Source organism: Homo sapiens, chromosome 21, assembly GCF_000001405.40.
Source record: "Homo sapiens chromosome 21, GRCh38.p14 Primary Assembly".
NCBI classification, from domain to species: domain Eukaryota; kingdom Metazoa; phylum Chordata; class Mammalia; order Primates; family Hominidae; genus Homo; species Homo sapiens.
In genome coordinates, this window is record NC_000021.9 from 37005010 (window position 1) to 37025875 (window position 20866).

At 46.9% G+C, this 20866-nt stretch overlaps 1 protein-coding gene across 3 annotated transcripts, besides 3 other annotated features; it reads left to right on the forward strand.

Moving 5' to 3' along the window:
• Positions 1034 to 1534: an enhancer, noted in NCBI's record as "H3K4me1 hESC enhancer chr21:38378343-38378843 (GRCh37/hg19 assembly coordinates)". NCBI's record gives its function as "activates a minimal SCP1, AML or CMV promoter by ChIP-STARR-seq in naive H9 embryonic stem cells {active_cell/tissue: H9 hESC(naive)}" and the evidence as "EXISTENCE:reporter gene assay evidence [ECO:0000049][PMID:30033119]".
• Positions 1141 to 14653, forward strand: RIPPLY3 (ripply transcriptional repressor 3). 3 transcript variants are annotated; one of them, NM_001317768.2, is made up of 4 exons: positions 1141 to 1224; positions 3148 to 3214; positions 8542 to 8609; positions 12865 to 14653. In NM_001317768.2, the coding sequence occupies exon 4, from the start codon at positions 12878 to 12880 to the stop codon at positions 13196 to 13198; it is 321 nt and encodes a 106-aa protein (NP_001304697.1). In that variant the 5' UTR covers positions 1141 to 1224; positions 3148 to 3214; positions 8542 to 8609; positions 12865 to 12877; the 3' UTR covers positions 13199 to 14653. The 3 variants fall into 3 exon arrangements, with proteins under 3 accessions (NP_001304697.1, NP_001304706.1, NP_061835.1); NM_018962.3 differs by lacking the exon at positions 1141 to 1224 and adding an exon at positions 1693 to 1867; NM_001317777.1 differs by lacking the exon at positions 8542 to 8609 and having other exon boundaries at positions 1193 to 1224; positions 12865 to 14650.
• Positions 1758 to 1867: a silencer, noted in NCBI's record as "silent region_13295". NCBI's record gives its function as "represses an Ori minimal core promoter by ATAC-STARR-seq in GM12878 lymphoblastoid cells {active_cell/tissue: GM12878}" and the evidence as "EXISTENCE:reporter gene assay evidence [ECO:0000049][PMID:35858748]".
• Positions 5085 to 5144: an enhancer, noted in NCBI's record as "active region_18442". NCBI's record gives its function as "activates an Ori minimal core promoter by ATAC-STARR-seq in GM12878 lymphoblastoid cells {active_cell/tissue: GM12878}" and the evidence as "EXISTENCE:reporter gene assay evidence [ECO:0000049][PMID:35858748]".
• Positions 14654 to 20866: the final 6213 nt, after the last annotated feature.

Sequence of the window (20866 nt, forward strand, 5' to 3'; positions counted from 1 at the left end):
TCTGCCTCCCGAGTTCAAGCGATTCTCCTGCCTCAGCCTCCCAAGTAGCTGGGATTACAGGCACCCGCCACCACACCCGGCTATTTTTTTGTATTTTTCTTAGTGGATACGGGGTTTCATCATGTTGGCCAGGCTGGTCTCAAACTCCCGACCTCAAGTGATCCACCCGCCTGGGCCTCCCAAAGTGCTGGGATTACAGGCATGAACCACCGCGCCTTGCGGAAGTTCTTCGATTTTTTTTTTTTTTTTTGGAAAGGGAATCTCTCTCTGTCTCCCACGCTGGAGTGCAGTGGCACACTCTCGGCTCACTGCAACCTCCGCCTCCCAGATTCAAGCCATTCTCCTGCCTCAGCCTCCCAAGTAGCTGGGATTACAGGAGCCTGCCACCACGCCCGGCTAATTTTTTTATTTTTAGTAGAGACGGGTTTCACCATATTGGCCAGACTGATCTCGAACTCCTGACTTCAAGTGATCCATCCACCTGCCTCGGTCTCCCAAAGTGCTGGGATTACAGGTGAGAACCACCGCGCCTGGCCTAGTTCTTCGATTTTTTAACATCCATCACAGTAACTTAAATTATATAAAGTAACTACCCCTGAGGAGCCCGGGGTAGTTGAAGGCCCTCCAGCGCCTTCGGTGTTCTGTCGCAGTGCTCTACGTGTGAAACCGCTTTCTCCCACCCTGGCCGTGCGCTGGTGATGGTGGCAGCGGCGCTCCAGCGACGCCCGGGGAAGTGTCCCCAGGGTCGGGCAAGGTCGCTTCTGCTGGTCGGGAGGCCCTTTCTAAGCCTGGCTGGGGCTAACCGAAGGAGAAGCCCGCCGCTCCAGGCTTTATTAAAAATTCGCATTCTTTCCAAGGCCGCCATCGGTGGGAAGGGTGCGCTCGTAGCACCCCTCTTGCTCGGTTCCATTCCTGGCCTTCTGTCTCCTGGAAGGGTCGCCGCGCCCCACCCCACCCGCTTCGCCACGGGTTCGAGCCCTGGCGTCGGGGCGTCCGGGAGCCCACTGTCCAGCACCGAAGGCAAGGCCGGTGCACGCGGACCCGAGGATTCGGTAGATGTCCCCGAAGACCCGCTGCCGCTCTAAGGCGGTGGAAGCGAGATTCTCCGGAAACCCAGGGAATCCGATGCTCGCACAGGACCAAAGCCCGAGGCCGCGGGGACCACAGAGGGACGGAGAAGCCGGGACTCCTCACATCCCACATCCGGCAGGGGAAGCCCAGCAGGTGAGCGCAGGTCCCCCCAGTCCCCGAGGGAGTGCGCCCGACGGAAACGCCCCTAGCCCGCGGGCCTCGCTTTCCTCTCCCGGGTTCCTGGGTCACTTCCCGCTGTCTCCAGCCCGAGCTCGTGGCCCCAATCCCTGGTACCTCCATCCTCTGGTCACCCCTTCTCTGGTGCCCCCTCCCCGACTTTTCTTTGTCCCGTCCCCACCCTTGCCCGGGCCTGCCGGACCCCCCTCCTTGACACCCGGCGCCACCTCCTTGAGCTTTTCTCGTCTCCTCCCCATCCCCGGCTCCCTGGTCCCCTCCCGGAACTTCTCTGGTCCCCTCCGCTCCTCCGACCCGGGCTTTTCCTTCGTACCCTGCGGCCCCCTCCGCACCCCTCACGGAGCTCCTCGGGTCCTGCCCCCTCCCAGCGCTTGCCCGCGCCGCCCCGCCCCCGTTTTTAAACCTGGCGCGCGGGTAGGTGAGCGCGTTAGCCCGAGTGGATCTAGGCGCGCTCGTAGGCCGGCGCCGCAGCAAGGGGCGCGGGCTCCGCCGGCACCATGGAGCCCGAAGCGGCGGCCGGAGCCCGGAAGGCGCGGGGGCGCGGCTGTCACTGCCCCGGGGACGCTCCCTGGAGGCCTCCGCCACCGCGCGGGCCGGAGAGGTGAGGGTGGCCCCGCGCCCCGGTGGACGCGCTGAGAGGCGTGCGCGGTGGCGGTGCGGGGAGCGCAGCGAGCGGGAGGCTGGGGCGCTGCTGAACCCCCGATCCCCAGCGGAGCTCCGGAGCTCGACGGCGACGCCAAGCAAGCTCCTGAGCCGGCAGCCGGGTTCCCGGGAGGGGCGCTCAGTTCTCCGGTTCCAACGCACAGCTCTGAAGTGCGGAGGCCCAGGATGTAGCTGGCCAGGAAAGGGGCCGACGCTTCCGTGTAGAGGAGATCTCAGTTAGCCAGCCGGGGACACTGCAGTCTCGGGCTCCTAAGCCAGCCTTGCAAAGGCAATCTCTCACCTTGCTACTTTCTCGGTAGCCGTTTCTGTTGTCCCTGGATTGGGGGCTCGGCGTTCGCTGTCCCTGGGCACCAACCCTTTTAAAGACAGTAACGTTGTAGGAAATCAAATTAGCCAGGGAGGTAGGGAAGGGACCGGGTAGGCCGGATGGGCCAGGTAGCCAGGCAGGAGAAAGATTCCCTCTTTTTTTTTTTTTTTTTTTTTTTTTTGAGACAGGGTCTCACTGTGTCGCCCAGGCTGGAGTGCAATGGCGTGATCTCGGCTCACGGGAACCTCCGCCTCCCGGGTTCAAGCGATTTTCCTGCCTCAGCCTCCTGAGTAGCAGGGATTACACGCGCCTGCCACCACGCCCGGCTAATTTTTGTATTTTTAGTAGAGACTGGGTTTCGCCATGTTGGCCAGGCTGGTCTCGAACTCCTGACCTCGAGTGATCCAGTAACCTCAGCCTCCCAAAGTGCTGGGATTACAGGTGTGAGCCACCGCGCCCAGCCCCCTTTTTTTGTTTGTTTGTTTTTCATCCTACAACTCTGTAAAATCATCTCTGTAGAATCAATCTCCTTCCGTGACCAAGGTGGTGTGATTGAAATTAACCGGGGACAAAGTAGACAGCTATAGTTGGGGAACCCCGAATTGAACAATTCAGCCAGGATTTGCAGGGAGAGAAATCTCTCAACTAATGGGTTCCCTGATAATTGTGTGAGATTCGGGACCTCCCTTCTCAAAGCTTAACTGGAGACAGAGAACTGGGGACGTAGCAGGAGAGAAAAAACACAAATGACAGTAATTTATCCACAGCCCTGAGAACTCCAGGGAAAGTTCCTGGGGGGTCCGGTGCCTCTTTTTCAGGCAGACACTGGAACTAAGAATAGCTCTCATGGCATAGTTTGAAGGCAGCAGAAGTGCCCAGGGTTCACTCTCTCCTGGCGCTTGCCGTTCCAGCCCCGCGCCGTGGCGACCTTGGATCCAGACACCTGGAGATGCTGAGCTGACCAGAACTGGAAGGCCGGTAAGGTTCAGTGCGGGCGTTGTAGGTAACCCTTCCAGCCAGAAAGTGGCATCGTCTTTTAAAATACAGGGACCGTGAATGGCCTTCTGCGCAGGGCCGTCCCTTGGGCGTCTAACCCAGGAGCGCCTCGGGGTCTGGGAGTTGGAACCTGAATGAGTAAGGTGTTAATCAGACCTGACTCGCATTATAGATTGGGCTCCTGGTGGCTTCTCCTTCCTAAAAAAGCATACCCACTATAAAAGCATAATCGTAGGCTGGGCGCGGTGGCTCGGGCCTGTAATCTCAGCACTTTGGGAGGCCGAGACGGGTGGATCACCTGAAGTCAGGAGTTCGTGACCAGCCTGGCCAAGATGGCGAAACCCCGTCTCTACTAAAAATATAAAAATTAGCTGGGCATGGTGGCAGGCGCCTGTAATCCCAGCTACTTAGGAGGCCGAGGCAGGAGAATCGCTTGAACCCGGGAGGCGGAGGTTGCAGGGAGCCGAGATCATGCCACTGCACTCCAGTGTGGGCGACAGAGCAAGACTCATCTCAAAAAAAAAAAAAAAAAAAAAAAACCGTAGTCGTTTCATGGGAATTATAAGGAATGTCCTCCCTGTTGCGGTTTCTTCTGCAAAGCAACAGGTCGGGAGGGGAGGGGAGAGGCTGCCACTATCGCTTGCCTTGGAGAAAAGCTTAGAGCACCATTAGCGTTGGGCCGGTGCCACAGAGCAAATAGGACTGAGCCCCATCTGAGGTGCCCAGAGTTGCCGTTAAAAGCCCCCACCCCGCGTCTGGCCCTTTCTGAAGCACTTTCAGCCCCGTCAAGCACTCCTGGGGTATCTCATGTTGTCTGAGCAAATACACTCAAGCAGAGGGCTTTGTGGGCAAGATTAATGACCTCCACCATTCTTTTGTTACTCTGCATTGGTAACTCAGTTGCTTTATACTTACTGATGTAATGACTTGCTTTCATAGAATTTACCTTTCCTTTGTTACATTTTAAAATATAAATTGATGACTTTTACTTAATTTTTTTTTTTTTGATGACTCTTAAAACACTGAAGAATTAGGCTGGGAAAGACCATGTATTGAATTTACGTAACACGTGTTATATGGACTAACGTGCAGTTATTTGTAATATGGTAAGAAAACTTGATTGTGGGAAAACAGACCTTCACCGTATTTTGATATTTACACGACTTTATTAAATTAATCTGAATATTGGGAATTTTAATTTACTTCAAAGAAGGAAGCAGATAAAAGATAAATCAATTAACAAGAGATGATTTTTAGTCCCCGATTATTTATACATATATCTAAATAATGTAAAATCCCTTCTTTTGCATTCAAACTTAGTTCTTAAACATAAAATTTAAAGGTGCTTGTGTGAGAATATAGATGTTTACAATTATCCAGTTTTCTTTTAAATGAAATGGATGTGGAGCCTATCAGTTTCTTGCAGGAATAAAAATACGATAGCACGCTCCCTAAGTAAGACAGATGGTTTTGGGTTTTGTTTTCTGTTTTGATAAGGCCGTTTGTGAGAAAAATTTACTTGCAGAGAAATGTTAAACGTTAACTTTCTCGCTGATCAGCAGGTAGCCTGTCACGCTGAAGTAGTTCTGTCCACGGATGTGGGTGTGGGAAGAGTGGTTGTTCCCTGGGGGCTGTAGAGCCCGCCAATCCTCACCCCTAGCCCGGAGCCCGCTCTTTGCAGAGCCCAGCTGGTTGCGCAGAGCGACCAGCGCCAGTCTGTGCTCTGGTACTGTGCACCGCCCTGGGTTCCCTGCAGTCCACCGACGAGAGCTGCCCAGCGCAGGGAAGGAACGCTTCTTGCTCAACAGCGCCCTCGCCCGACAAAGCAGGACAATTCCCCAGCTCCCAAGCCCTCTTCTGTATTTCTCAAAAATGCCATTGGCTGGAGTGGCGGTGAAGAGGACTAACGCCTGGTGACCTGTACCAGGGCTCCCGGCAAGCAAAGCAAAACTAGAATAAAACCTCAAGTAGGCCGGGCGCGTGGCTCACCCTGTAATCTCAGCACTTTGGGAGGCCGAGGCGGTCGGATCATCTGAGGTCAGGAGTTCGAGACTGACCTCACGAACATGGTGAAACCCTGTCTCTACTAAAAATACAAAAGTTAGCCAGGCAGTGGTGGTGTGCGCCTGTAATCCTAGCTACTCGGGATGCTGAAGCAGGAGGATCGCTTGAACCTGGGAGGCAGAGGTTGCAGTGAGCTGAGATCGGGACACTGCATTCCAGCGTGGGAGACAGAATGAGACCCTGTCTCAAAAACAAAAATAAAACCCAAAAAACCCTCAAGCAGAGGGAAGGCCTCAAGGCCCTGTACTCTGAGCAGCACGGTCACCCTCACCCACTTCATGCCCCTACAACACTTAGGGAGCTATCTCCCTCCCCTACCTGCACCTTTCTTGATCTCTGTTGCGTTTCCCTCCTGGCCACTTGCGGGCACTGTCAGGGAGGCAGTTTCCTGGAAAACATCAGGGACTGTTTGTTCTTCTGGGCCTGCCCTATCTGCCAGGCTCCCACTTCTTAGCCCTAGCCCGGTCAGAGACTCGAACGGGGAGGAGAAGGCTGACCCCCACTGAAAGCCTCTCTGCACCTGTCAGTCCTCAGGCTCATAGGAAAACACACTCGCACATATGTTAAACGCAGTGCTTGCGTTGTGCACATTTCTGTTCTCGTGTTTCATTATAAAATGTGAATATTTAGACATTTCCCTCAGCAGACAAAGGATCCTTTTGGAAAACAATCAGGATATTTATGGCATTTTTTTTTTTTGAGGCGGAGTTTCGCTCTTGTCGCCCAGGCTGGAGTGCAATGGTGCAGTCTCAGCTCACTGCAATCTCAGCTCACTGCAGCCTCTGCCTCCCAGGTTCAAGCGATTCGCCTGCCTCAGCCTCCAAGTAGCTGGGATTACAAGCGTGCGCCACCACGCCCGGCTAATTTTTGTATTTGTAGTAGGGACGGGGGTTTCACTATGTTGGCCAGGCTGGTCTCGAACTCCTGACCTCAGATCGTGATGCTCCTGCCTCCGCCTCCCACAGTGCTGGTAATTACGGGCGTGAGCCACTGCGCCCTGCCTGGCATAAAACTTTTAAAGCTGCATATGTTTGTGGGGTAAGGTTTTTAAAGTGGATAAAGGTGTGCTGAATGTTTTAACAGGGTCCAGTTAGAACTGGACGATTTACAGAAGTTATTCTTTCTCTGACACCTGCCACTGCCGAGTTAGGCCCTGTCTGATCGCAGGGCGCCAAATAGCCGTTAGCAGGGCAAGATTGCTTGTGGCCATAAAGTAGGGCCTGAGGAAATAGGAGTGTTTTATAATCACGAACAGAGCTTAACAAAGAAGCAGCTTCCTGTATCCCCCAAAGAGTGAACAACTTTATGGAAAAGATTTGGTTTCAAAGAGCCTCATCACTTTCTTAGCTCATCACAGTGAATTATGAAAATATGGCTGGGGCCGGGCGCGATGTCTCACGCCTGTAATCCCAGCACTTTGGGAGGCCGAGGCGGGCGGATCATGAGATCAGGAGATCGAAACACGGTGAAACCCCATCTCTACTAAAAATACAAAAAATTAGCCGGGCGTGGTGGCATGCGCCTGTAGTCCCAGCTACTCGGGAGGCTGAGGCAGGAGAATCTCAGTGAGCCGAGATCGCACCACTGCACTCCAGCCTGGGTGAGCAGAGTAAGACTCCGTCTCAAAAAAAAAAAAAAAAAAAAAAAAAAAAATGGCAGGGAAAATGTAATGTCTGCAGAGGCTCCTTACAGGCGAATTTGCTCATATATATCATGTGCACATTCCCTCCGCCACCCGCCCCAGCGTCCGTGCAGGATGGAATGGCGTGGAGATTCACGGTGTCAAAGTCCTTCCTTGTCAGGCCATAGTAAGTTTTGTCCTGTTTCTCATCTGGTTCCAATTGAACTTTGGAATCTGAAGATTTGGGGTTTCTGATGCACTGCCCCAGACCATTTCCGCTCCTTATTTATTATTATTATTATTATTATTATTATTATTATTATTATTTTTGAGACGGAGTCTCGCTCTGTTGCCAGGCTGGAGTGCAGTGGTGCAATCTCAGCTCACTGCAACCTCCGCTTCCCGGGTTCAGGCGATTCTCCTGCCTCAGCCTCCCGAGTAGTTGGGACTACAGGCACATGCCACCACGCCCAGCTAAATTTTTTGGTATTGTTAGTAGAGACTGGGTTTCACTGTGTTGGCCAGGCTGGTCTTGAACTCCTCACCTCAAGTGATCTGCCCACTTGGGCCTCCCAAAGTGCTGCCATTACAGGAGTGAGCCACCGTGCCCAGCCTGAGTTCACATCCTGCCCTCATCCAGAAGCTCTTTACCATCAATTTTCAAGACTGGTTCCTCCAAGCCCTTTCTATACCAGCCTCATCTGTGCACAGCTCCCTGCGGCCGCTGCTCTCCTTGAAATACAGATCTGATAGTTGGACTCCCTGACTCAAAAATCCATCTCCAGTTCCTGTATCCAGAGTCAAACCTAAACTCAACAGTGGGTATTCCAGGCATATGTCACCGTTTGAGCCCTTTGCCCATCACAGGGTCTCACTTGTTCCACACAAGGCTCCTCATGGCTCCCCACTTGCACCCCCTGTTTTCCTGCCACTCTGATTTTTTTTTTTTTTTTTTTGAGACGGAGTGTCGCTCTGTCGTCCAGGCTGGAGTGCAGTGGCAGGATCTTGGCTCACTGTAACCTCCACCTCCCAGGTTCAAGTGATTCTTGTGCCTCAGCCTCCCAAGTAGCTGGGATTACAGGCATGCGCCACCACGCCCATGCCTAGCTAAATTTTCAGATTCCACCCGCCTCAATCTCCCAAAATGCTGGTATTACAGGCATGAGCTACCACTCCCGGTACTGCCACTCTGAATTTGATGCTCTCCTCTGCCAAAATAGTCTTAGAATTGCAAACCCACATGCCACAGATGTCTCTGCGAGGCCCTTCATGAACCCGTTCCTGACCTTCCTTCATGCTTAGAATCATGGGTATCTTACCGTGTGATGCTTTGTAGCTGGTTATTAGCATACATGTGCGTCTCTGTCCATTAGATTGTAAAATGCTGGACTGAGGCACTGTGTCCAACTCCTTCCATCTGAATTCTTCACAGTGCCTGGGACATTTTGGGCCGCGGTAACAGGAACACGGGCTTATCGAATACTGATAAGGTGTCTAAACTCTCTAAAATTGGTATTGATATGACCAACTGCAGATGACTTACGTTCTGTGGTTTAAAACCTCAGGATGTCACCTTCCGACACTCCTGCACTGTCTCTGTGTTTGTATGTGTCTGTCGTTACAGCTTGAACCTAGGGCTGACCAACACACTTTTGGATCAAAGGGAGCCTTTGGGTTTCAGCATCCTGTAAGGTAATATACGACTTCACAATAAGTAATCTGTAATTTCCTTTTAATATAGGCATTAATATGCTTTAGTGTCTTCAACCACATAGATTGTCAACAAAGTGGAAAATAATTCAATGTATTCTTTGGTATTGTTTAGTTTCCTTATACCAAGGAGATTTTGTTGGATTTCTGGAATCCATTCATGTATTCATTCATTCAGTGTTTTCTACAAAGTGCAATTGGCCTCTCTCTTTTCTTTATACCTGTTATTTCTACTTCTCATTACAAATTGTGCCTTGTATTATATTTATATAATTGCATGTGAATTGTATATGCATATACAAAAACTTATATATTGAGGTATATTTCTATTGTTCTACCAGGATATAAGCTAGTATATTGTCTAGTGCAAAGTCGACCTTCAAAATCTATGTGTTGAGGGTGGACATGGTGGCTCATGCCTGTAATCCCAGCACTTTGGGAGGCTGAGGCAGGTGGATCACCTGAGGTCAGGAGTTCGAGACCAGCCTGACCAACATGGTGAAACCCCCGTCTCTACTAAAAATACAAAAAATTAGCTGGGCATGGTGGTGGGCACCTGTAATCCCGGCTACTTGGGAGGCTGAGGCAGGAGAATCGCTTGAATCTGGGAGGTGGAGGTTGCAGTGAGCCGAGATCACGCCACTGTACTCCAGCCTGGGCGACAAGAGCGAAACTCTGTCTCCAAAAAAAAAAATCTATGTGTTGAGTAAATGGTTGTCTCCAGCACAGTGGGTGCCGTGCACCTTTGAGAGAGCCTTTTCCTCCCACCTCCTAAGTGTGTGTCATGGTCCTGGTGGTGACCAGGATTCTCACTGCTGTATCCATCTACACTCTGTCCATTTTAGACAAGTGGCTCACGTTCAGGATTTCTGCCTGTCTCTCTGTCTCTGTCTCTCTCTTTTTCTCTGTCTGTCTCGCTCGATCTCCTTTACCAAAATTAACCTTGCCTGGGCCGCCTCCACCAGGTGCCTTTGCCCTGGTTACCCAAGAAGACTGGAAAGCTTAATACAACCCAAAGACACTCATGTGTAGGCATAAAGCTCAGTCTCCTCAGACTGGTCAGAAGGAAGCTTCCCTTGTATGCCTTACACCAATAGTTTTCTTTTCTCTTCTGACATCTCACTCTGTCACCCAGCTTGGAGTGCAGTGGCACAATCTCAGCTCACTGCAACCCCTGCCTCCTGAGCTTAAATGATCCTCCCACTTCACCCTCCTAAGTGGCTGGGACCACAGGTATGTGCCACCATGCTCTGCTAATTTTGTAATTTTTTTGTAGAGACAAGGTCTCACTATATTGCCCAGACTGGTCTTGAATTCCTGGGCTCAAGCTATCCTCTTCCCTCGGCCTCCCAAAGCGTTGGGATTACAGGCATGAGCCATTGCTACTGGCCACACCAATGGTTTTCAATCCTCATAGAATTACTAGTGGAGCTTTTAAAAATACAGATGCCTGGGTGGTTCTCCCAGGCACTCGGATTCGCTTGCTCTAGGGAAAGACCCATGCATCTGTTTTTTGTTTTGTTTTTGTTTTTGTTTTTGTTTTTTGAGATGGAGTCCTGCTCTGTCACTCAGGCTGGAGTGCAGTGGCACGATCTCGGCTCAACTGCAACTCCACCTCCCATATTCAAGCAATTCTCCTGCCTCAGCCTCCCAAGTAGCTGGAATTACAGGTGCGTGCTGCCATGCCTGGCTAATTTTTGTATTTTTAATAGAGGTGGGGTTTCACCATGTTGGCCAGGCTGGTCTTGAACTCCTGATGTCAGGTAATCCACCCGCCTTGGCCTTCCAAAGTGCTGTGATCACAGGCTGTGATCACAGCCACCGCACCCGGCCATTCTGTTTTTGATTAGTTGAAAATGCTGTGACTGACAAAGCATGAGCTGCAGCCATGCACTGCACACTGGATATACAATTTCACTTTATATTTTTATTACAGAAAATTTCAGACATACACAAAAGTGGAGTGAATAGTACAGTGAACCCCATGTACCCATCACCGGCCTCAATAGTTATCAATGTTCTGAGCTCATCATATTTATCACCCGCAACTATGTTGTTGTTGTTGTTAGCATATTTTATTTTATTTATTTATTTTATTTTGAGATAGGGTCTTGCTCTGTTGCCCAGGCTGGAGTGCAGTGGTGTCATCCCAGCTCACTGCAGCCTCCACCTCCCCAGGCTTCCATCTCGGCCTCTGGAGTAGCTGGGACTACAGGTACAAACCACCACACCCAGCTAATTTTTTTTTTTTTTTTTTTTCAGATATGGGGTTTTGCCATGTTGCTCAGGCTGGTCTCAAACTCCTGGGCTCAAGTGATCCTCTTGCTTTGGCTTCCCAAAGTGCTGAGATTACAGACATGAGCCACTGTGTCCCACCCCAGCATATTCTAAAGCCAATCTCAGACATGCTAGGAATTCACCTGTGAATACTTCAGCATAAATACCTAATTGTAAACATGGCTAAAAATGGAACTATGCTCATATTTCTGTCTTAGATGAACATACACATTCTGTCTGCTGCAGAATTCCTCAACCTCAGCACTATTGGCACTTTGGGCTGGATAATTCTTCACGGTGGGAACTATCCTGGGCCTCGTAGGGTGTTTACCAGTATTCCTGGCCTCTACTCACTAAATGTCAGTAGCTTACCCTCCATTGTGACAACCAAAAATGTCTCCAGACATTGCCAAATGTCCCCTCGAGGTCGAGAACCATTGGTCTATTGGATATCTTATGAAGTAAAAAACTATCATCCATTATTTATAGAAGGGTGTTTTCTCTCTCCCTTTTCTCTTCTATCTGAAAAAAAAGGATATTGAAATCAGCTTTGCAAATAAGCAGTGATCAATTGACAAACTCACTTCTTCAGAAGACCACAGAGAAAAATGCAAATAAGTTAATGAATGAAAAGCAGGTCGAGGCATGGTGGCTCATACCTGTAATCTCACACTTTGGGAGGCCAAGGCAGGAGGATCACTTGAGCTCAGGAGTTGCAGACCAGCCTGGGCAATATGGCGAAACCCTGTCTCTATGAAAAATATAAAGAATTAGCTGGATGTGGTGGCATGCACCAGTAGTCTCAGCTACTCAGGAGGTTCAGGTGGGAGATGCTTGAGCCCAGGATTTCAAGGCTGCAGTAAGCTATGATTGCCTCACTGTGCTCCAGCCTGGGTGGCAGAATGAGACCCTTTCTCAAAAACAAAAAAGAAAGAAAGTAAGTGAAGGATAAGAGATTATGGCCGGGAGTGGTGGCTCATGCCTATAATCGCAGCACTGTTGGAGGCCGAGCTGGGCGAATCATTTGAGGTCAGGAGTTCGAGACCAGCCTGACCAACATGGTGAAACTCCGTCTCTACTAAATACAAAAATTAGCCAGGCATGGTGGTGGGTGCCTGTAATCTCAGCTATTTGGGAGGCTGAGACAGGAGAATCACTGAACTCAGAAGGCAGAAGTTGCAGTGAGCTGAGATTGCGCCACTGCACTCCAGCCTGGGTGAGAGAGTAAGACTCCCTTTCAAAAAAAAAAAAAAAAAAGATTACAGGGAGGGGGTATCTTAATACTTGCCATGTATGAGCAAATCCAAAATCTTATAAAACCTGGAATTTAGGGGTTCCAAATTTTACATACTTAAGCACTTTCTTTTTTCTTTCTATTTCCTTTTTTCCTAAGCACATCTTTTTTATTCTGGCAGAGCAAAGGACTTGTGCCTCCAATTTCTTTATGGCAACATCTGGAAAAATTAGCTGCTTCTCTAGACCAGGGTTTCAGAGATGTCAGAGTAAATTTCCTCCAGAACCCAAGGGGTTACAGCATTTCCCATGCTGCAGGGGACAGAGGGTGGGGTGGGAGAGTGGGGCTTCACCTAAATGGGACATCAATTATCCAAGAAGAGTCAAGTCCGCTATTTGATCAGAGTGAGCCTCCTAATCTTGGAACTCAGTGTTTTCAGTTGCCTTTTACCTTCCTTGAAGCACACCCTCTTCCTTGCGACTGTCTGAATTGACTGGCTCAGTCAGATTTATAACTCACTTCTGAACCGGGGTAGGTTTATCACCAGGTGCCTCCAATAGGTGCCTAGAGTTCTCTGTTCTGATGACTTAAATTCTGTGTGTTGTGAAGGCAAAGACCAGAAAGGAAGACTGGGGAGTTCTCTGCTTCTGGGAAAAAGCACCCTCTAGAAGCAATTTAGGACGAGGTTCAGGTTGATTAATGGTATATTTGTTTCTTAAATATTAGAGTCTATTTACCCATGTCAAAGCGTCAAGAATACCTGCGGAGTTCCGGGGAGCAAGTACTGGCCAGTTTCCCAGTGCAAGCCACGATTGACTTCTACGACGATGAGTCTACTGAGTCTGCTTCCGAAGCTGAAGAGCCAGAGGAAGGACCCCCACCCCTCCATCTTCTGCCCCAGGAGGTGGGAGGTCGGCAGGAAAATGGCCCAGGGGGAAAGGGCAGAGACCAGGGCATCAACCAAGGGCAGCGATCCTCAGGAGGGGGTGACCACTGGGGGGAGGGTCCGCTCCCTCAAGGTGTCTCCTCAAGGGGTGGCAAGTGCTCCTCATCCAAATGAATCAGTCTCTGTCTCCTGGGCCCTGCTCTGGGACCTGCCCCTCACGTTCTCTTGGGGACACCCGAGCCAGGACACTACGCATCCCTGCTGAGTGTGCAGAGGCTAGAGGCTTCTCGGGCAGCCCCTGGCCTGCACACTACTCATGACAGAAAGTCAGCTTTTACTTTTCTTTCCCCTGGCAATTCGTTTTTGGTGCACTCATGCATGCCTTTGAGAAAGGATTCTAGGAGAAAGAGAAGGTCTATGTCAACAGAGTTGTTATCTCATAGAGCCAGTTTTCAAAGCTCCTTCTGCATTGTCACTCACTGATCAGGTGATGAATTCTTCCTAGATAGTCGCCCACTCCACCTCCTACTTAACCTGAGACTCATTATTTAGCTATTTCTGCTTTTGTAAAAATAATTCAGATATTAAACTCCAATTTTAATCTATCATCCAAGGGTAGATGTAGTTGCTTAGTAGCATTTTGGAAAAAAAAGAAAAAAAGGTTTGGTTTGGTTTTGTGACGGAGTTTTGCTCTTGTCTCCCAGGCTGGAGTGCAGTGACACAATCTCGGCTCACTGCAACCTCCACTTCTTGGGTTCAAGTGATTCTCCTGTCTCAGCCTCCCAAGTAGCTGGGATTACAGGCATGAGCTACCACGCCTGGCTAATTTTTTGTATTTTTAGTAGAGACTCGGTTTCACCATGTTGGTCAGGCTGGCTTTGAACTCCTGACCTCAGGTGATCCACCCGCCTTGGCCTCCCAAAGTGCTGGGATTACAGGCGTGAGCCACTGAGCCCGGCCAAAAAAAAATGTATTTATTAAAAAAAAATTTTTTTAACCCGCCGAATAATTCCCATAAGAGTAACAAAAAGGACCAGCCTGACCAACGTGGAGAAACTCTGTCTCTACTAAAAATACAAAATTAGCCAGGCGTGATGGCTCATGCCTGTAATCCCAGCTACTCGGGAGGCTGAGGCAGGAGAATGGCTAGAACCCGGGAGGCGGAGGTTGCCGTGAGTCGAGATCGCACCATTGCATTCCAGCCTGGGCAACAAGAGCGAAACTCCGTCTCAAAAAAAAAAAAAAAAAAAAAGAAAGAAAAGAGTAACAGAAAGATAGGGATTTTTAGGAGACAATTAGATAAAAATGTATGTGATGACTGTATAAGGAGGCCTGTGTGTATGAATTTATAGGGAGTAGAACCGTCTCTCTTCTTAGTTGGTGACTGTTTGGGGCCTGGTATTTTAATAGATGAACACTACTTTTTTAATTTTTTATTTTTTTAACCCTACCCTTAACCCATGAACACTATTTTTAATTAAAGTATCTGATGTAAAATTATTTTGAGTTTTTAATATTTTGATAAACGTGTATTCCTGAAACTTTTTGACTTACTTATCTTACATGTGGTGTCTTCCTGTATATAGTACATTATATCAATTTCTACTTGAAATAAATATTTTGAAAGAATGTTTGATAATCACCCTTTTTTGCTTAAGACATTTTTAGAATTAAATAGTTTCTGCTTTAAGGTTTTTTCATTTTTCATGGTTTTTAAAAATAATTCTTTTAAAATTATAACCTATTATTTTATTTCAGTATTCTGTTTTATTTTTTAAAATTTTAGACACAGGGTCTTGCTCCGTCCCTGGCTGGAGTGCAGTGGCTCAATAATAGCTCACTGCAGCCTTGAACTCCTGGGCTCAAGGAATCCTCCCACCTCAGCCTTCGCAGTAGGTAGGACAACAGGCGTGAGCCACCATGCCCAGCAATGTTTTTTGAGACGGAGTTTCGCTCTTGTCACCCAGGCTGGAGTGCAATGGCACAATCTCGGCTCACTGCAACCTCTGCCTCACAGGTTCAGTCGATTCTCCTACCTTGGCCTCCTGAGTAGCTGGGATTACCGGCACGTGCCACCAAGCCTGGCTAATTTTGTATTTTTAGTAGAGATGGGGTTTTACCATGTTGGCCAGGCTGGTCTCAAACTCCTGACCTCAGGTGATCCACCCACCTCGGCCTCCCAAGGTGCTGGGATTACAGGCATGAACCACCATGCCCAGCCACCCAGTTAATTAAAAAAAATTTTTTTTTTGTAGATACAGGTTCTCAATACATTGCCAAGGCTGCTCTTGAACTCCTGGCCTCAAGCTATCGTCTTACCTAGGCCTCCTAAAGCACTGGAACTACAGGAATGAGCCACCATACTAGGCCCAATATATTAAAAAGTAGGAGTAATGAATGGAAATACTTTCAGCAATCCAAACACTATAGAAAGTACACATTGCAAAGTAAAATCACATTCTGCTCTTCCCCCTTTCCTTTGTCTAAAGATAACAAACATCAATTGTGTTTTATGGCTTCAGTCTTTTGAAAAATTCCTTTTTTGTGTGTTTTTCTTTTCTGGGCCTTTTTTTCTTTTAAAATGTTTACTTTTTTGTGTTTTGAACAAATTTGGCTACTTTTTCATTTAAAAATTAAAAATTATATTTTATTGTTTCTTTTACTTGTTTAAAGTACATCTTTTCAGACTTAAAAACAATTAAACCTGGGTCAATTTCAGAAAGGATTTAAGATGACCCCGAATTTTGCTGGCTTTTCACAGAAAAATGCTAGAAGTCTTATCCTCACTCCTTCATGTGATGCTTAAGATAAAAACTAAATAATCACATCTGACTTTGTTGAGTTTTCTTGATAAATCAGTTTTATTGACAAATAAAGCCTGGTCCAATAATGAGTTTATCCTAAATAAACCAAACATAGTCCAAATTCTGATGGCATCAACCTCCACAGTTTAAAATATGCTGCGTGTGCCAGGTGAGATGGTTCACCCCTGTAATCCCAGCACTTTGGGAGACCGAGGCAGGTGGATCACTTGAGTCCAGGAGGTCGAGACCTGCCTGGACATGGTGAAACCCCTTCTCTACTAAAAATACAAAAAATTCACCAGGCGTGGTGACACGTGCCTGTAGTCTCAGCCACTTGGGAGGCTGAGGTGGGAGGATCACCTGAGCCTGGGGAGGTTGAGGCTGCAGTGAGCCAAAATCACACCACTGCACTCCAGCTTGGGAGACAGAAAGAGACCCTGCTCAAAAAAGTTGATTAATATATGCTGTATGATAGTTTTACATTACATTAATTCTAAATTACTTAGAATCTGGCCAGCTTAGTGCAAATACAAAACAAGGCACTTTAGCTATGGCTAGCAATGGAATCACATATACTGTGGGTCAGACATTTTTGATAGCAAGGATATGGTGAGCTTGGGGCCTCCTTAGCTCTCTGATTGTTACAATTACGTGAATTAACTAAAAGTCTCAAACCTAAGAGCTCCAGGGTTTTGGTCATGTATCCCTCTCACTTAAAAAATGTAGCTGAGCATGGTAGCTCATGCCTGTAATAACAGCACTTTGGGAGGCTGAGGCAGGAGGATCACTTGAGCCCAGGAGTTTGAGACCAGCCTGGGCAACAGAGGGAGACCTCCTCCTCAACAAAAAATTAAAAAGCTAGCCAGGTGCAGTGGTGTGTTACTATAGTCCCAGCAACTCAGGAGCCTGAGGTGGGAGATGCTGGAGCCTAGGAGTTCAAGGTTGCAGTGGGCTATGATTGCAGCACTGCACTCCAGCCTGGGCAACAGAGTGAGACTCCACCTCAACAAAATACAAAATTAAAAATGTGTGCCTGCCCCCTAACATATATTCACTTATGAATTATATGTTATGTTGAGCCATTTGAAATTGCTGATGCTTTACCATTTTTAACCTACAAAAAAAGGCAATTTCATATGGTTCAACCAACATGTACTATTGGGATAATATATTGCGCATTACAAAATATACACAAGACGTATATTTTAAAGGAAAGCCCAAGTTGGGCATGGTGGCTTACACCTGTAATCCCAGCACTTTGGGAGGCCAAGGCTGGAGGATCACTTGTGACCAGCCTGGGCAACATAGCAAGACCACATCTCTACAAAAAAAAAAAAAAAAAAAGCAAATAAGCAATTTCATCACTTTTTAAAACTTGTATTTTAAGTTCAGAGGTACATGTGCAGGTTTGTTACATAGGTAAATGCATATCATGGGGTCTTTTTATACAGATTATTTCATCACCCAGGTATTAAGCCTAGTACCCATTTGTTATTTTTTCTGATCCTCTCCTTCCTTCCACCCACCACCCTCCTATGGGCCCCAAATGTGCGTTGTTCCTCTCTGTGTGTCCATGTGTTCTCATCATTTAGCTCACACTTGTAAATGAGAACATGCAGTATTTGGTTTTCTATTCCTGCATTAGTTTGCTAAGGATAATGGTCTCCAGCTCCATCCACACTCCTGCAAAGGATATGATCTTGTTCCTTTTTATGGCTGCGAAATATTCCATGGTGTATATGTACCACATTTTCTCTGTCCAGTCTACCATTGATGGGCATTTAGGTTGATTCCATGTCTTTGCTACTGTGAACAGTGTTGCAATGAACATACACGTGTTTGTGTCTTTTTAAAATAATTTTTATTTTAGGTTTGGGGTACATGTGAAGTTTTGTTATACAGGTAAACTCGTGTCACAGGGGTTTGTTGTACGGATTATTTCATCGTCCAGGTATTAAGCCTAGTACTCAATAATTATTTTTTCTGCTCCTCTCCCTCCTCCCTCCATCCTCAAGTAGGCCCTAGCATCTGTTGTTCCCCTCTTTGTGTGCACGAGTTCTCGTCGTTTAGCTCCCACTTATAAGTGAGGATATACCGTGCTTTCTTCCCTATTCCTGTGTCAGTTTGCTAAGGATAACGGCCTCCAAATCCATCCACGTTCCTGCAAAAGACATGATGTTGTTCTTTTTTTTTTTGAGACAGAGTCTAGCTCTGTCGCCCAGGCTGGAGTGCAGTGGCACAATCTCAGTTCACTGCAAGTTCCGCCTCCCAGGTTCATGCCATTCTGCCTCAGCCTCCCGAGTAGCTGGGACGACAGGCGCCTGCCACCAGGCCCGGCTGATTTTTTTTGTATTTTTAGTAGAGACGGGGTTTCACTGTGTTAGCCAGGATGGTCTCGATCTCCTGACCTCGTGATCCGCCCGCCTCAGCCTCCCAAAGTGCTGGGATTACAGGCGTGAGCCACCGCGCCCAGCCGATCTTGTTCTTTTTTATGGCTGCATAATATTCCACATTTTCTTTATGCAATCTGCCATTGATGGGCATTTAGACTGATTCCAGTGCGTGTCTTTATGGTAGAATGATTTATATTCCTTTGGGTATATACCCAGTAATGGGATTGCTGGGTCGAATGGTAGTTCTGTTTTGAGATCTTTGAGGATTCTCCACTCTGCTTTCCACAATAGTTGAACTAATTTACTTTCCTACCAACAGTGTATAAGCGTTCCCTTTTCTCTGCAACCTCACTAGAATCTGTTTTTGTTTTGTTTTGTTTTGTTTTGTTTGCTTTTTAACAATAGCCATTCTGACTGGTGTGTGATGGTATCTTATGGTTTTGATTTGCATTTCTCTAATGATCAGTGATGTTGAGCTTTTTTTCATGTTGGCCACATTTATGTCTTCTTTTGAGAAGTGTCTATTCAAGCCCTTTTCCCACTTTTTAATGGAGTTGTTTGTTTTTTTCTCTTGCAAATTTGTTTAAGTACCTTATAGATGTTAGATATTGGACCTTTGTCCAATGTATAGTTTGCAAAATTTCTCTCCCATTCTCTAGGTTGTCTTCTTACTCTGATGATAGTTTCTTTTGCTGTGCAGAAGCTCTTTAGTTTAATAGATCCCATTTGTCAATTTTTGCTTTTGTTACAATTGCTTTTGGCATCTCTTTTTCTTTTCTTTTTTTTTTTTTTTAAGACAGAGTCTTGCTCTGTAACCCAGGCTGGAGTGGAGTGGTGTGATCTAGGCTCACTGCAATCTCTGCGTCCTGGGCTCAAGTGATTCTCTTGCCTCAGCCTCTTGAGTAGCTGGGATTATAGGTGCCCACCACCACACCCAGCTAATTTTTGTATTTTTAGTAAAGATGGGGTTCCACCATGTTAGCCAGGCTGGTCTCAAACTCCTGACCTCAAGTGATCTGCCTGCCTTGGCCTCCCAGAGTGCTGGGATTACAGGCATGAGCCACCACACTGGGCTTTGCTTTTGGCATCTTTGTCATGAAACCTTTGCCTATTCCTATGTCCAGAATGATATTGCCTAGGTTGTCTTCCGGGGTTTTTATAGTTCTAGGTTTTACATGTAAGTCTTTAATCCATCTTGAGATGATTTTTGTATATGGTATAAGGAAGGGGTCCAGTTTCAATCTTCTACATATGGCTAGCCAGTTATCCCAGCACCATTTATTAAATAGGGAGTCCTTTCCCCATTGCTTTTTTTTTTTTTTTTTTTTTTTGGTCACCTTTGTTAAAGATCAGATGGTTATAGGTGTGTGGCCTTATTTCTGGGCTCTCTATTCTGTTCCATCCGTCTATGTGTCTGTTTTTGTACCAGTACCATGTTGTTTTGGTTACTGTAACCCTGTAGTTTGGCTTGATGTCAGGTAGGGTAATGTCCCCAGCTTTGTTCTTTTTACTTAGGATTGCCTTCACTATTTGGGCTCTTTTTTTTGTTCCATATGAATTTTTAAAATAGTTTTTTCTAGTTCTATGAAGAATGTCATTGGAAGTTTGATAGAATAACGTTGAATTGGCCGGGCGCGGTGGCTCACGCCTGTAATCCCAGCACTTTGAGAGGCCGAGGCGGGTGGATCACAAGGTCAGGAGATCAAGTCCATCCTGGCTAACACGGTGAAACCCCGTCTCCACTAAACATACAACAAATTAGCCGGGTGTGGTGGCAGGCGCCTGAAGTCCCAGCTACTTGGGAGGCTGAGGCAGGAGAATGGTGTGAACCCAAGAGGCAAAGCTTGCAGTCAGCCGAGATCGCGCCACTGCACTCCAGCCTGGGCGACAGAATGAGACTCTGTCTCAAAGAAAAAAAAAAGGGAATAACGTTGAACCTAGAAATTGCTTTGGGCAGTATAGCCATTTTAATGATATTCTTCCTATCCAGGAACATGGAATGTTTTTCCATTTATTTGTGTCATTTCTGATTTCTTTGAGCAGGGTTTTGTAATTCTCATTGCAGAGATCTTTCACTTCCCTGGTTAGCTGTATTCCTAGGTATTTTATTCTTTTTGTGGCGATTGTGAATGGGATTGAATTCCAATTTGACTCTTGCTGGCTGTTGTTGGTGTATAGGAATGCTGGTGATTTTTGCACATTGGTTTTGTATCCTGAGACTTTGCTGAAGTTGTTTATCAGCTGAAGGAGCTTTTTGGCCGAGACTTTAGAGTTTTCTAGATACAGGATCATGCCATCTGCAAAGATAGCTTGACTTCCTCTCTTTCCATTTGGAGATGCTCTTTATTTCTTTATCTTGCCTGATAAGCATTTAAATTATTAATAGTTCTTAAATCCTTTTATTCTCATGAAATAAATATATATACTAAATAATGTATACTGTGTACATATATATAATATTTAAGCCACCTCACAGAGAAGCATGGATTCAAATAAAAGAAATATAGCATGCACTTACTAAATTATACTTTTCAGTCACATCCACCAATTTTGAAGAAGTTTTTACTGAAAGTTGATGAATAAATCTTCTCTTGATGTGAATCCAAGTTTATTTATTTTTCCTTTTTTACTCTTTTTTTTTCTTC